General features: G+C 40.2%; 1 protein-coding gene across 1 annotated transcript in view, besides 1 other annotated feature; it reads right to left on the reverse strand.

The window, feature by feature from the left end:
• TLK1 (tousled like kinase 1) overlaps positions 1-16,689 on the reverse strand; it is a 240,471-nt gene that overhangs the window by 210,404 nt on the left and 13,378 nt on the right. The gene's annotated exons all lie outside the window — the stretch shown is intronic.
• Positions 3,432-3,605: a silencer, noted in NCBI's record as "fragment chr2:172061168-172061341 (GRCh37/hg19 assembly coordinates)". NCBI's record gives its function as "represses an EF-1alpha promoter that drives an FKBP-Casp9 reporter gene in an ReSE screen in phorbol 12-myristate 13-acetate-treated (for megakaryocytic differentiation) K562 erythroleukemia cells {active_cell/tissue: K562(+PMA)}" and the evidence as "EXISTENCE:reporter gene assay evidence [ECO:0000049][PMID:32094911]".

A 16,689-nucleotide genomic window follows, 5' to 3' on the forward strand; every position in this document is an offset into this window, starting at 1 on the left:
CATCACAAAAGTTTTTACATTCATAGAGTATGTTTGAGATTAATTTTAAATTCATTTTATCAATGCTTGTTAATTACTATTGAAATGCCATCTCATTATTTACAGATTTACACTTAATATTTTGTCATCAATCGTTATGAAGCATCTTTGAAATTACTAGAGAGCTGCCATTTATTAAGAGCCATACTATCAACATGAACCCTGCCTGACCTCACTTCAGAGCATTTTTGAGGACAGCTGTGTCATGTATCCAGCCACTCAACTAGGAAATCCCATTCATGACACATTTGATAGGTGATCATCCAGCCTCAATTGGCAAGAAGCTCACTACTATTTAGGTTTTCATTTACTGGCTCTATAGACTGCTCTAACCATTGAGAATTTTCCTCATATTGTGCTGAAAGCTGCTTCTAAGGAACTGTTCCACCTGGTTCCCATCTAATGCTCTGGTACAACTCTGAAGAAATCTCAGGGATTCTTTCACTTAAAGTTTTCTGTTCCTTAAAGGGAGCTGTTCCATCACCCTGAAGTCATATCTCTTCACGCACGGTCTCTGCAGGTCTTTACTACAGCTCGATGTGACCAACTGGAGAGGGCAGTGAGAACCTCAGCTCTGTGGGTCTAGACACCACTATGACTATGAACTTAGCCTAAGACCATTTATCAGCTATCATCTATCTATCTATCTATCTATCTATCTATCTATCTATCTATCTATCATCAATCATATCTATTATCTATCTATCTATCTAGGCAATTTGCCTTGCACAGGGAAGAGGGGCTCATGTAGAAACGAGTTGGGGACTGTTACTGGATTTTGTTAATGTTTATTGAGTTCTTACTATGCCTAAAACACACAGTTGACAGATGAAATACAGGATGCCAAGTTAAATTTGAATTTCAGACAAATAACAAATAATTTTTGGGTATAAGAATTTCCCGGCTCAGGCCGGGCGCGGTGGCTCACGCCTGTAATCCCAGCACTTTGGGAGGCCGAGGAGGGCGGATCACCTGAGGTCAGGAGTTCGAGATCAGCCTCAACATGGAGAAACCCCATCTCTATTAAAAATACAAAATTAGCCGGACGTGGTGGTGCATGCCTGTAATCCCAGCTACTCGGGAGGCTGAGGCAGGAGAATTGCTTGAACCTGGGAGGTGGAGGTTGCGGTGAGCCGGGATCGCGCCATTGCACTCCAGCGTGAGCAACGAGAGTGAAATTCCAACTCAAAAAAAAAAAAGAATTTCCCTGCCAGGCGCAGCAGTGGCTTATGCCTGTAATCCCAGCACTTTGGGAGGCTGAGGCGGGCAGAACACGAGGTCAGGAGTTCAAGACCAGCCTGGCCAATACAGCGAAACCCTGTGTCTACTAAAAATACAAAAATTAGCTGGGCATGGTGGTGTGCGCCGGTAGTCCCAGCTACTTGGGAGGCTGAGGCAGGATAATGGCTTGAATCGGGGAGGCAGAAGTTGCAGTGAGCCGAGATTGCACCACTGCACTCCAGCCTGAGTGACAGAGGAAGACTCCATCTCAAACAAAACAAAACAAAACAAAAAAACAGAACTTTATATTTATCTACTTAACAATATTTTAAGTTATTTCAAATCTTAATTCTGGCACATATAAATATCATTCTCATAGTTTTATTGGACAAAATATTGATCTAATTTCCAAAGTCCTTTTTGAAAATTTCCATTTCTGTAGAAGAATGGTTTTTAGCATCTTTTAGGGTCCATATGTTTTTGGAAATTTGATGTAAACAATGGATTCTCTCTCAGTGGTGGGGGAACATACACTATATTAATATATTGTTAAGTATTGTTAATTCTTCCAATTAATTTCTTTAAAATTAAAAAAATAAAGCTAGTTGTTTTTTCTACTGCAAATGTAATTTTAGGAGAAATAAGGATCCCCATGCCCTCTTGGTGAGAGCATAATTTTTAAAAAATGTTTAATTGTGGTTTAAAAAATACCTCACAATATAAAATTTACCATCTTGGCCATTTTTATGGTATACAAAATGTATAGTTCAGTAGTGTTAAGTATATTCATATTTTGTGTAAATAGTCTTCAGAATTCATCTCGTAAAACTAAAACTCTATACTCATTAAACAACAGCTCTCCATACCCTTTATCCCCAGCCCCTAGCAACCACCATCTACTTTTTGTCTGTATGAATTTGACTACTCTAGGCACTCTATGTAAGTGGAATAACATTGTATTTGTCTTTTTGTGACTGGCTTATGTAATGTATCATGTCCTTCAGATTCATCCGCATTGTAGAATATGTCAAAATTTCCTTCCTTTTTAAGGCTGGATAATATTCCATTACATGTATAAACCACATTTTGTTTATCCATTCATTCATTGATGGGCACTTGGGTGGCTAACACATTTTGGCTACTGTAAATAATGCTGCTAGGAGCATGAGCATTGAGAATGTTAATTTATACAGAATATATCAGAGGAAATTTGACAGTGTTATTAAAGTTACTACAGGTTGGTAATCAATGAGACATATAAGAATTATAAAAGAAAAGATGGGCCGTGTGCAGTGGCTCATGACTGTAATCTCAGCACTTTGGGAGGCTGTAGCTGGTGGATCACCTGAGGTCAGGATTTCAAGACCAGCCTGGCCAACATGGCGAAACCCTATCTCTACTAAAAAAATACAAAAATTTGCCGGGCGTGGTGGCGCACACCTGTAGTCCCAACTACTTGGGAGGCTGAGGCAGGAGAATCGCTTGAACCGGTGGGGGGCAGAGCTTGCAGTGAGCTGAAATCACGCCACTGTACTCCAGCCTGGGTAACAGAGAGAGACTCTGTCTCAGAAAAAAAAAAGAAAAGATGATAAAATTATGGATAAGTGAAATGTTAAACATTTAAGTAAGCATTTTGTATAGAAAACAAATTTAAAACTTGTGATTAGATCAGAATTTAAAGGGATTTAGAGATCGATTAGAATATTTCTCCATTACACATGCAGAAATTGACATGAACTCAAGATTTTCAAGAGAAATGCCTTTTCCAGCTCTGCCATTAAATTGGCACCTAGCAGTGCTATCGTCCTGGCTACACTGATACTAAAATGGAACGATCTAAGTTGGAACCCCAGTGCGTGCCCAGATTTGGTCTTAAATTCTAGTAACCACTAAAAGTAGCTAATGCCATGTCCTATGATAGGGAGAAAAATAAAGGTAGACTTAGAATATCTTAATGTTTTCAGGAAGCAAAGATGTTTTTAAAATGTCAGAGTAATGTTGAAAGGACAAAAGAGCCAGCTTAAAGGCAGGCCTGGTCAACTTGTGTCATTTTGTGTCATTTGAGCATCCAAAAAAAAAAAAAAGGTAGTTATGGCTAATTGAAATGATATACATATCTGAAAATCTGTGAGTCTGTAAGCCACTCCAAAAAGGAAAAATCTACGTATTTTATATAAAAAGGAAATTATGGGCTGGGCATGGTGGTTCACGCCTGTAATCCCAACACTTTGGGAGGCTGAAGTGGGTAGATCAGTTACGGTCAGGAGTTTGAGACCAGCCTGGCTAACATGGTGAAACCCCATTTCTACTAAAATACAAAAATTAGCTGGGCGTGGTGGCCGGTGCCTGTAATCCCAGCTACTCGGGAGGCTGAGGCAGGAGAATCACTTGAACCCGGGATTCGGAGGTTGCGGTCAGAGCGTGCCACTGCACCCCAGCCTGGGTGATAGAGTGAGACTCCGTCTCAAAAAAAAAAGAAAAAAAAAGATTTTAAGTAAATAAAAAACAAAAGGAAATTATGATGTTAAATAAGGGTGAGTGCAATGGAATATGCTATATTCTTTAAATGTATTTTTAATAGGCAGGTGTGGTGGCTCATGCCTGTAATACCAGCACTTTGGGAGGCTGAGGTGAGAGGATTGCTTGAGCCCGGGAGTTAGAGGTCACAGTGGGCCATGATCATATGACTGCACACCAGCCTGGGAGACAGAGTAAGACCCTGTCTCTAAAAATAGGAGAATGTTGTCATTCATAGGTGTTCCATCTATCGTCTATTAAATATATGACAGTTAAATTATAGAAATGATAAGGTACACACTTATTGATTCTAAGACAGCTTTTTTTTTTTTTTCCCCCAACAGGGTCTTGCTCTGTTACCAGGGCTGGAGTGCAGTGGCACAATCTGAGCTTACTGCAGCCTTGACTACCCAGGCTCAAGCGATCCTCTCACTTCAACCTTCTGAATAGCTGGGACTACAGGTGCATGCCACTACACCCATCTAATTTTTGTATTTTTTTGTACAAATGAGGTTTTGCCATGTTGCCCAGGCTGGTCTCCAACTCCTGGGCTCAAGCGATCCTCCCACCTTGGCCTCCCAAAGTGTTGGGATTACAGGTGTGAGCCACAGCACCAGGCCAAGACAGCTGCTTTTCATATTTTAACACCTCTGAAATTCAGGTGGTTCTACAGTAGATGGCCTTTTTATTGCTGTTGGGTGGAGAGCGGCATGTTCACACTTGGTAACAGCTGTCCATTCTCTTCACTTAAGCTGAGTAATCTGCTTTGTTGTTTGTTATTTTACAGACTGAGTTAAACCACTATTTGAAATGTCTAAAAATAAAGGTTTCCTCTGTAAGTTTGGGATTGAAATGAAATATTATATACACAGAAAGGCAATAAAACAGAGCAGTGGAATGTACATTTGCTATTAGTGAAGCAAATCTTCATCTTTAGAGGAATGTCAACATATCTCCCATATTTTTTTCCAATGCAACAACTAAGTGCTTTATGGGACCTGAGAAAGAAAGCTACTGCAGTAAATGAAACTATGTTATATTTTGTTACTGAGATACATGCAAAAAGATTCTTATTACATGTCAAGAAATACAACTGAAGATGGGAAAAATGGCCAAATCCCTCACAGAAAGAAATTTCAGAGCAATGAGAGGCTATTTTAACTGATTCCTCAACTATGTAAGATTATCAGTAAGACATTGTGTCATAGTTTAATTAGTTTTTGTTCTTTCCTAGAGGCACATAAAATAATGAAGCAGCTGACAATCAATAGCATCTTACATTTAATAAAATATGGCATGCGTTTGTCTCTATTTGATTAAGAAAGAAAAGAGAAAGTTGTGAAATGGTGAGATAGCCAAATTATAATGAAAAACAGTAAGAACCCTACCAACTTTAGGATGGATGAGAGAGGAGAGGTAGAAAGGTGATGGATTAGCCAAATGTTCTAAAGAGGGAGGCTGGGCAATACAATCTCTACCCCTTGTCTGCATGGAGATGAAACCTTTAAGGGGCCTATCACTTCTAGGGCCTAGTAAGGCATATACGGGTTCCAACAGTGCTAGAAGACCAGGTCAATATTTAATGGGGACATGATACTGGTTTATGTAATGCTGACCAAGCAAATAAAAAGAATGCATTATTTTAGGAAAAGAGACCAGCTTGCTAGAAACTAAAATCTATGTAAAAGTGTGGACTGGACATGAAAAGTCCCCTTGACGTGAGGAAAACCTAACTATAAAAAGGGACCTATCTCACCAAAGAAGATCTACAGATGGCAAATAAGCATATGAAAAGATGTTCAACATCATATGTCATTAGGGAATTGCAAACTGAAACAACAATGAGATACCACTACACACCTATGAGAATGGGCAAAATTCAAAACACTGACAACACCAAGTGCTGACAAGGATGTGGAGCAACAGGAATGTTCATTCATTGCTGGTGGGAAGGCAAAATGGTACAACTACTTTGAAACAGTTTGGCAGTTTCTTATAAAATTAAACATACTCTTACCATACAGTCTAGCAATCATGCTCCTTGGTATTTACCCAAATGAATTGAAATCTATGTCTACAAAAAACCTGCACATGGATGTTTATAGAAACTTTATTCATAATTGCCCAAATTTGGAAGCAACCAAGATGTCCTTCAGTAGATGAATGGATAAATAGTGGGACATCCTACAAGGGAATATTCTTCAGAACTAAAAATAAATGAGTTATCAAGCCATGAAAAGACATGGATGAAACTAAAATACATATTACTAAGTGAAAGAAGGCAAATTGAAAAGGCTACACACTGTATGATTCCAACTACGTGACATTCTGGAAAAGTCAAAACGAGGGAGACATTTAAAAGATCAGTAAGTGCATTAGCAGGAAGGAGGGATGATTAAGCAGATCACAGAGAATTTTTAGGGCAGTATAACAGTGGATATATGTCACCATAAATTTGTTCAAACCCATAGAATGTACAACACCAAGAGGGAACCCTAATACAAACAATGGACTTTGGGTGATCATGATACATCAATGTTGGCTCATCTGTTGTAACAGATGTACCACTGTGGTGTGGGATGTTGACAGTAGGGGAGGTTGGGCATGTTTGGAGATGGGGGGATATAGGAACTCTTTATACTTTCTGTTTGATTTTGCTGTGATCCTAAAAGGGCTCTAAAAATAAAATCTATTTTTAAAAGGGAGGGGAGTCTAGACTAGTCAATGATACAGGATTGAATCACTTTCTTTTTGTCACCCAGGCTGGAGTACAGTGGCATGATCTCGGCTCACTGCAACCTCCACCTCCCACGTCCAAGTGATTCTCTTCTCAGACCTCAGCCTCCCAAGTAGCTGGGATTACAGCTGTCTGCCACCACGGCCAACTAATTTTTTGTATTTTTAGTAGAGATGGAGTTTCACCATGTTGGTCAGGCTGGTCTCGAACTCCTGACCTCAAGTGATCTGCCTGCCTCAGCCTCCCAAAGTGCTGGGATTACAGGTGTGAGCCACTGCGCCCAGCCAGGTTTGAATCACTTTCAAAGATACAAGCCTATTTCAACTAAATTAACAACCCAGGCTCTCTAACCTAAATTAGTCTGATTTAGTCTTCTTTTTTCTTTTTCTTTTTTTACTTTTGGCTTTAGTAAAATTAATGTAATCCTGGGAAAGTATAGAAATTAGTATTACTGCAACCTTAGGAAGGTATAAGAATAGACTTTTTATAAAATAAATTGAATTCATGGTGTTGCTATTTTTAAATTGTAAGTATAAGTTTTATTCTCACTGTTGTTTAAGGCATTTGAAGAATTCTAAATAATCCTTCAAATTAAATTTGTAATTAAATTTTAAATCATTGAAGGATTTTAATTAATTATGTTTAGAAACAATGTTTAAATGCTCAAGGAAACTGATTTTCTGAGTTTTATTTATTAGCTATATAAACTTAGAGCATTAATTACATTATAAGAGTGGAGAGTTCTCCTCTCCGTGCTTAAAAACCCCTGAGACTTCAAGAATCCTCAAAATAGTACAGATCAAAAGCCCTAAAAATGCATGTACTCCCAGAACAACATAATCAACTTTAAGAAATTTATTTTAAGGCTATAATTAAAATGAGCAAAGGTGTAGCTCTAAGGATATTAATCCTAGTGCTGCTAAATGTAACAAAAGTAGAAGCAACTTAAACATTCAAAAATGAGGCATTTGATATTGACAACCATCCCAAAGTTTACAACTCATTCTCTTGGGGAAGCTGTGAAAAATTAGTTACTGTTCCCTGCAGGTGGGACTGCAAAATGATGCAAGCCCAGTGCAGAGCATTTTAGCAGTGTCTATCAAAATAATAAATGCACTTTGACTCAACAATTCCACTTCTAGGAATTTATCTTAGCAATACATCTGTACTTGTAGGAAATGACATGTATGAGTTTATTCTTTGCCCCTCTGTTTGCAACAGAAGAAAAATTAGAGACAACCTTGTATAGAAGACACTGGTTAAGTAAACCATGGTTCAGCTACACAATTGTATATTTTCTGGCTATAGGAGAGAATGGGGAAGCTCTTTATGTACTGATAATGGAGAAGCTTCAGAAATATGTTGCTTTTTAGAAAAAGTAAGGTGCAGCACAGCGTAAATAGTGTGTTCCCTTTGTGTAAGAAAGTAGGGGAAATAAGAGCATGTATTTGCATTTGCTTTTATTTGCATAAGGAAACATTGGAAGAATACACAAGAAACTAATAAAAGGGGTTACTTATATGGAACAGGGGTGGGATGGAAGTATTTATCTTTTTATATTGTTTTGATTTTGAACCATATGAATGTTTTTCTTATTCAAAAAATTAAGTTTAAGTTAGGACTGCTAAATAAATTATTAGGTATCTATGTGATAGAATGCTAGATAGCGATGAAAATTTATATTGTAAGTGTTTAAATATACACAGAAATGTTCAAATATATATTGGGTAAGAAAAGCAGGTTATAAGAAAGTAATATATACTCCTATAACCTAAGAAATTATATTTATTTCTTTAGTATAGTTTACAAAATCTGACGCAGTAATGTGTCCTTTTGTAAGTCTATTTGTTGAAGTCCTAATTCCCATATCTCATAATGTGACTGTATTTGAAGATATGATCTTTAAGGAGGTAATTATAATGAGTTACAGTGAGGTCATTAGGTGAGCCCTAATCCAATATGCCTGGAGTCCTTATAAGAAGAGGAAATTTGGACACAGAATATGTACGAAGTGAAGACCATATGAAGACAGAGAGAAAACGGTCATCTACAAGCCAAGAAGAGAGATCTTGAAAGAAACTAACCTTGCCTACACCTTGGTCTTGGACTTCTAGCCTCCAGAATTGAAAGAAAATAAATTTTTGTCATTTCAGCTACCCAATCCATGAAACTTTGTTACCGCAGCCCTAGCAAACTAATGACAATACTGATACACATTCTCAAAATTTCCAGGAGCTTGTAGGCACAGGCAGTGTATGGGAATGCCTGTTTTGTACCTCCTATTAGCTAATCAGGTAAATCAAAATACAGTGTCATGTCTTCATTTATGTTTATTTACATTTTCCTTATGTTAAAAAGTTGTATTACTGTTCTGAATTTGAATGTCATTATAGTACCATGATCAGCCAAGCAACTGATTATTTTTAGATGAATAGAGCTGAACTGGAATGTGGCAACCAAGGTGTGTATTATAGCGGCCCCTCTGAAAGAGAAATAAGGTTATAATGCCACTCACACCTTCACGTTCTTTTTTTATTATTTTTTTTTTTTATAGGAGACAAGGGTTTCACTATGTTGCCTAGGCTAGAATGCGGCTATAGGAGAGAATGAACTCCTGGGCTCAAGCAATCCTCCTGAGTAGCTGGGACTACAGGCACATACCACCACACCCAGCCATGGTCAGTATCTTCCCTTTAAGTGTAATAGCCCTGGCTGGGGCTGCTCCCCACCAAGACCACATCTAGGCAAGTATTTGCGAAAGAAAAGAATTTCGATTTCAGACGTAATCAGAAAAATCTCTGACTAGTATATCCAATTAATACATCCAATGGGCTAAGCACCACAGTAAACAAAAACAATGCCCTGTGCAAAAACAAAGTCAAACAAAACAAACACACAAACAAACACCCAGTCTTAATGTTCACGGACACTTCGGACTCTGACTTTTTTGCATTGTATTGCAACATCCTTATATCTGAACCACCTAGAGACTAAACTAAACTAGGACAATTTACAAGGGAGAATTTGCCGGCTAATTAAATTAGGGCAAGGTTAATTCATTGAGAGAATGCCGTGAAATGTTGAGAAGAAATCTAGGAACTGATAACAGGATCTAGGCTTCTCTGACTGTTACCAGGAGGGAGAAGGGAAGCTGCATTTGAAGCTGAATATATCCAGGAGGCTGAGAGAGTAACTTCAGCCAGCAGGTATATACAGCCGGATGTGCCAGGGACAGCAGTCATAAGCAGCCAGCCCAGAAGGCACTTCTTCAGATATGTCCACATTATCTCCTATGATCTTTGCGGTGACATCCTTTGGGCACATGAAAACCTTACTTTTGGTTGATTTCTCTGCTTCCTGCCCCATGTTACATTCTTAGATACTAAAAAGCACTCTGAAGACAGATGCTCAACAATTCAGAGACCTCGAATCCTACAAGAATGTTAGTGCCTGTAACACAGTTTACATTGCTGTAGAGCCTTTCATGCGACAAAAATTTAAACAAGCATTGTTTTATTACTTACTTTTACTGGCTCCCTTTCTATAACCGGTTTGGGTTGTAGGAAGCCTTTTGGTTTTCACCACGAATTATATCAAACCGTTTGTCACGGTAAGTTCACTTCCTCTTTCTTTTCTTGTGTAGTTGAACTCACCTAAGATGCATGGCTTACCCTATACTTATTTAATACACCAGAAATATAATATACAAAGATACTTCATTGAGGTGCATACAAAAGTGTAATTGTTCAATGCTATTTTGCACAGACTACACTCAGTCATAAATGTATCTAGTGATATCTGAGTTAAATGGATGCTTTTTTTTTTTGAGATTAGAGTCTTGCGCTGTCGCCCAGGCTGGAGTGCAATGGCGCGATGTTGGTTCACTGCAGCATCCGCCTCCCGGGTTCAAGTGGTTCTCCTGCCTCAGCCCCCTGAATAGCTGGGATTACAGGCGCACCCCACCACGCCAGGCTAATTTTTGTATTTTTAGTAGAGATGGAGTTTCACCATGTTGGTCAGACTGGTCTCGAACTCCTGACCTCGTGATCCACCCGCCTCGGCCTCCCAAAGTGCTGGGATTACAGGCGTGAGCCACTGTGCCCGGCCTCTTTTTTTTTTTTTCAAGACAGAGTCTCACTCTGTCACCCAGGCTGGAGTGCAGTGGTGCAATCTCGGCTCACTGCAACCGCTGCCTCCTGGGTTCAAGCGATTCTCCTGCCTCAGTCACCCGAGTAGCTGGAATTACAGGCATGCACCACTACGCCCAGCTAATTTTTTGTACTTTGGTAGAGACAGGGTTTCACCATTTTGGCCAGGCTGGTCTCGAACTCCTGACTTCAGGTGATCCACCTACCTCCCAAAGTGCTGGGATTACAGGCGTGAGCCACCATGCCTGGCCTCCTCTCGTTTTAAAGCTTGTCTAACAAGCCTTTCCGGACCTCCAGAAATCAATTAACATCTGCATAAGCTCAGCCTGGCCACTCCAGCAGCTGTTTTATCATAGAGAAACATTCCTGGCTCCCCTGCCCCCACCCTCACCCCTTGCCGCCCCCTCCTTCACCTCCCCCACCGCCCCCAAGCTTCACTCCCTGTTATGCTGCCTTTTTGCAACTTTAACCTGACACCCCCAATTTTCCCAACATCTGTTCAGTTGATGTTATCTTTATATCTGGTAATAGGTCCTTGATGTTTGATTTCATTATACCTTTGCCTGGGTAAATAAACATGTTCCCCCTAAGGAAATAAGGGACATCATTTTAGACGTCCTTTATCAATGTCAGTGGAGTCTAAGGGAAAAGGATTTGGAACCAGGAGATAGAAGACTTCAGTTCCAGCACCGGCTCCTTTTAAAACTGGTTGTGTGACTTCGGAAAAGAAATTTAAGTCCTTTCTACCTCTAGCATGTAATTTCTTAACTGTAAAAAAAATTATAAACCCACTCTGTCCTCATAATTTTTATCATCAAAGGACATTTATTAAATGCCTACTTAGTGATGAGAGCTTGCATTTGGGGTAAGGCAGGCAGTCAGAGCCCCTGTTAATCAGGGGTCTTTAGCAAGATATTTGAGCTTCCTATGATTGTACACAGCATTTTAGTTTTAGTGCTCTGTGCACATGAAGAAATAAGAGGAAAACAGCAAAAAGCGTTTTGTTTTTTTTTAAAAAAAACAAGCAAAATGTATTTAACATGAAAAAACTTGTTTTATCCTAATTTCATATCTGATCTACATCTTTGCTATGAAAAAAGTCATCTCCTTTATGAAATTATGGCCAGAGTAGACATTACTTTGTAAAATTGTCCTTCTTACCAAAGTGAAAAGTTATAAAGCCTTTTCTAAAAAAATTTTTTTTTAGAAAAAATATTTTTATCTCCAAAAGGTTTTGCTAATGGGTGAATTCCAAGTCTGGCTCCGCTAGACTACAGGGCTCTATATCAGGCCATATCTTTCTTTTTCTTTTCTTTTCTTTTCTTTTTTTTTTTGAGACAGGGTCTTTTGCCCAGGCTGGAGTACAGTGGCATGACAATCATGGCTCACTGCAGCCTCGACCTCCTGGGCTCGGGTGATCCTCCCAACCTCAGCCTGCCAGGTAGCTGGGACTACAGGCATGCACCACCGTGCCCAGCTAATTTATGTATTTTTTGTAGAGACAGTGTTTCACAGTATTGCCCAGGTGGATCTTGAATTCCTGGGCTCAAGCAGTCCTCTCACCTCGACCTCCCAAAGTGCCAGGATTACAGCTATGAGCCACCATGCCAGGCCTATATCTTTTTTTTAAAAAAAAAAATTTATTTTAGTTTGGGCCCGGTGGCTCATTCCTATAATCCCAACACTTTGGGAGGCTGAGGCGGGAGGGCAACATAGTAAGAATTACTTTCTACAAAAACATGTAAAAAAACATTAGCTGGGCATGATGGCATGCACCTGTAGTCCCAGTTAGTTGGGAGGCTGAGGTGGGAGGATCACTTGACCCCTGGAGTTTGAGGCTTATATTTTTTTAGAGATAAGGTCTAGTTCTGTCACCCATGCTAGAATGCTATGGCATGATCATGGCTCACTGTAGCCTCAAACTCCTGGGCTCAAATGATCCTCCCACCTCAGCCTCCCAAGTAGCTGGGACTACAGGCACATGCCACCATGCCCAGCAATTTAAAAAAAATTTTTTTTTTAGAGAAGAGGTCTTGTTATGTTGACCAGGCTGGTCTCAAACTCCAGCCATATCTTTCTTGAGGAGTGTGGAGCTCACCTCTAGCAGCCATCATCTTCTTTCAGACTCTGGTGAATAGTTTTAGAAAATTTTTAATGAAAAAAAAAAATTAGCCGGGCATGGTGGCACATGCCTGTAGTTTCAGCTACTCGGGAGGCTGAGGAAGGAAGATTGCTTGAGCCCAGGAGCTCAAGGCTGCAGTGAGCTTTATCAAGCCACTGCACTCCAGCCTGGGCAACAGAGTGAGATCCTGTCTCAAGAAAAAAGACAAAAGAAAATTCTGAGCTGGGCAAGGTGGGACCTAGTGTCTTCTCTGCCTCTTAGTATCCATACGGCTTGGGTGAGTCACGTAACCCTTCTGCACCTCAGCTTCTTAATCTCTACAATGGGGTCTAGATAAGGTCACTAACTGTCTGTCTTTATCCTAATGGGACATCTGAGAATGACATGTGCGCATGCATGGCTCTCTGTGCCCCAGTCCCCAGGCACTAGTTGTATACAACTTCACCCATTCGTACTCCCTTGATAAAGCACACCTGAATGCCAGGTGTGTTAAATTGATACAATTTTAACAGTGGTTCTCAAACTGGAGTGGGCATCAGAGTCGCCTTGAGGGCTTGTTAATCATTGGTTGCCAGGCCCCACCCTACAATTTCTGATTCAGTTAAGTCTGCAGTGAGGCTGAAAAATTTGCATTTCTATTAAGTTCCCAGGTGATGCGAAGTTGCTGGTCTTGGAAGAACCATACTTTGAGGACCAATGTATGATAAGAACTTAGAATCCCCTGGAATTTAGTAATTAATCAATCAGTCATAAGCTGCACTTTTATTATTTCTAACAAATTACTTTCTATACTTTGCTTCAACTCCTGAATTAGTAACCCCTCAAGGTCTTCCAGCTAAAGAATTCTGTGATGTTTAAGTGAGTCAAGACAATGGGCCTTGATTCAGCAACTGAAGCCTGACTCCGCCTGCAATCATGTTCTCTTTCAACTCTTTTCTTTTTTTTTTTGAGACGGGGCCTTGCTCTGTCTCCCAGGCTGGTGTATAGTCATATGATCATGGCCCATTGTAACCTCTAACTCCTGGGTTCAAGCAATCCTCCCATCTTAGTCTCCCGAGTAGCTGGGACTACAGGTTGGCAACACCACACCTGGCTAATTTTTGTAGTTTTTGTAGAGGCGGGCACTTGCTATGTTGCCCAGGCTAGTCTCAAATGCCTGGGCTCAAGTGATCTGCCCACCTCAGCCTCCCAAAATGCTGGGATTACAGGCGTGAGCCGCCGTGCCCACTCTCTCTCTCAACTCTTTCAGTATCCTCTCCACCTCACCTTCCACTCCACCTACATAAAGACACTAACATTCAGTTTCATAGGAAAGAGGATGGCTTATTGTGTTTAGTTTCCAACACAAATACAGAACAGAGTGCTCTTCTCCAAGTCTTGTCAGTTGTGATGCTCTTTTTCCTCAGCGATCTGAGGGAATCAAGTCTGCATTCAGGCTCTGCTGTGGCTGGAGTTAGGTCACACTAGGCAGAGCAAATCTGCTTTAAGAATGTCCAAGACAGGCACGGTGATGTATTGCTCTTACTCTGATAGAGCCTACAGGTCATTTTAAGTTGAAATCCAAAAGGAACCAAAGGAAATTTAAATTATATATATAGGCTTCCCTAATAGTGATATATTTTCCTTGAAAACATTTCAATCAATTGTTTTTCAGAGGTTGGTTGTCCAAAAGAAGAAATATTTCTCTGGGGGCTTTGGAAGTCTCTTGACTTTATAGTCTGTCAGAGGCCAAGAAAGGCAATTTAGTAGCATAGGCAGTGAGCAGCTGCCCACTCCTCGGAAGTTCGGTTCCTCTTAGAAGGAGGCCCCAGCGGGTACATGCACGCGGTGGAACGCTTTATTCCCTTTAACAATATGCGCACCACCACCCCTTTCTAGTGGGAATTGATTACAAGAATAATCAACTCATGGTTCCTCATTTTTCATAAAATTAGCTAACACATATCAAGATTCTCTTTGTGCCAGGCGTTGTTCTAAGGACTTTCCTGGCATTAGTTCACTTAATCCTTATAACAATTCTGTAAATTCTGTTATTATCTCCATTTTACAGACAGCAAACTGAGGCACTAGGAATTAGTTAACTTGCCCAAGGTCATACCTGTTAATAAGAGGTAAAGATAGTATTCAAACTAATTCTGGCTCCAGAGTTGCACACTAACCACTATGCTGCCTTAAAAAAACAAGGGCCGGGTGCAGTGGCTCACGCCTGTAATCCCAGCACTTTGGGAGGCCGAGGCGGGCAGATCACGAGGTCAGGAGATTGAGACCATCCTGGCTAATACGGTGAAACCCTGTCTCTACTAAAAATACAAAAAATTAGCCGGGTGTGGTGGTGGGCGCCTGTAGTCCCAGCTACTCGGGAGGCTGAGGCAGGAGAATGGCATGAACCCGGGAGGTGGAGCTTGCAGTGAGCCGAGATCATGCCACTGCACTCCAGCCTGGGCGACAGAGCAAGACTCCGTCTCAAAAACAAAACAAAACAAAAAAACAGAGAATAACAACTTACGAGATTAATGAAATCCAGAATTCCAAGGTCTTATTTGACTTGTCTATTTGACAAGTAGAAACTATTATGGGTTGAATTGTGTCCCTCCTCACCCCCTAAAACATATGTTGGAGTCGTAACCCCTAGTACCTTAGAATATGACCTTATTTAGAAGTAGGGCCATTATAGTTGTAATTAGTTAAGATGAGCTCATACTGGAGTACTGTGGGCCCCCAATCCAATATAACTGATGTTCTTAAAAGACAGCCATGTAAAGACAAAGATACACAGGGAAAACGTCATGTAACAACAAAGGCAGAGATTGGAGTTATGCAGTTGCAAGACAAGGCATGCCAAAGACAGCCAGCGAACCATCAGAAGCTGGAAGAGCCAAGGAAGAATTTTCCTATAAGATTCAGAGGGAATGCAGCCCTGCCTTGATTTCAGACTTCTAACCCACAGAAGTATAAGGCGACACATTTCTGTTATTTTAAGCCACTCAGTGTGTAGCACTTTTTTACGGCAGCCCTAGGAAACTGATACCAAACTGATGCATTTATCCTCCCTACTTTTTCACTGTTACCTCCTACCTTCCAACAGCAGTGCCACAGAACAGGAGTCCCACTTGTTAGGGAAAGAAACAAAAACCTGAGTTATTCATTCATTCAGAGCCTGGCATGATTGCTGCCACATTATAGATGCTTAATAAGTGTTTGTTGATTGAATGAATTCTTCCAACATTTATGAAGGGATTGCTTTTTGCAATGATTATAATAAAAATGGGACAAACGAACTTACAAATCAAGAGTAGACAGTAGATACCATTCTCCCTCTCAAATCCACAGGTAACTTGGGAGGTATTATTACTGAAGTTTCTTCCAGCATCCCTAACATAAGGAAAAATGACCATTTTGAGAACTGGTTTCTGGACCCTCCTGTTCCATTGATCTCTTTGTCAGTTTGGGAGTCGTATTTCACCTCTTTTCCATTTCCTTGCCCCCCTCTGGTGGAGGCGCTAATGAATGGAGAAGGGTATGAAAAGCAGACAGCAGGAGGGAGGAACACAACTCCCAAAGCTGATCATGAGGGCTTGGATAATTGAGAGGACACCACTGTCAGATGGCAGAGAAAGCACTCTGAACATGCTTCAGACATTAACATCTAATGAAAGCTTATAAAGGTACTTTGAAACAGGTTTGCCCAAAGTCAGAGTGAAATGATTATTCTGAACAAAATTCAATAAACAAGTTGAGTGAAAAGAGAGAACAAAGAAGAGTACGTGTAATATGGTCTTATTTTTATAAAGCAATAACAAAAATTTCTGCATATATATGTGTGACTAAAATTGTTTGTGTACATTTATGAATATTTAAAGTTGTATGAACATGGACAAAGATGGGGAAGAATACCGTATTAGTTT

Source organism: Homo sapiens, chromosome 2 (assembly GCF_000001405.40).
Source record: "Homo sapiens chromosome 2, GRCh38.p14 Primary Assembly".
Classification (NCBI taxonomy): domain Eukaryota; kingdom Metazoa; phylum Chordata; class Mammalia; order Primates; family Hominidae; genus Homo; species Homo sapiens.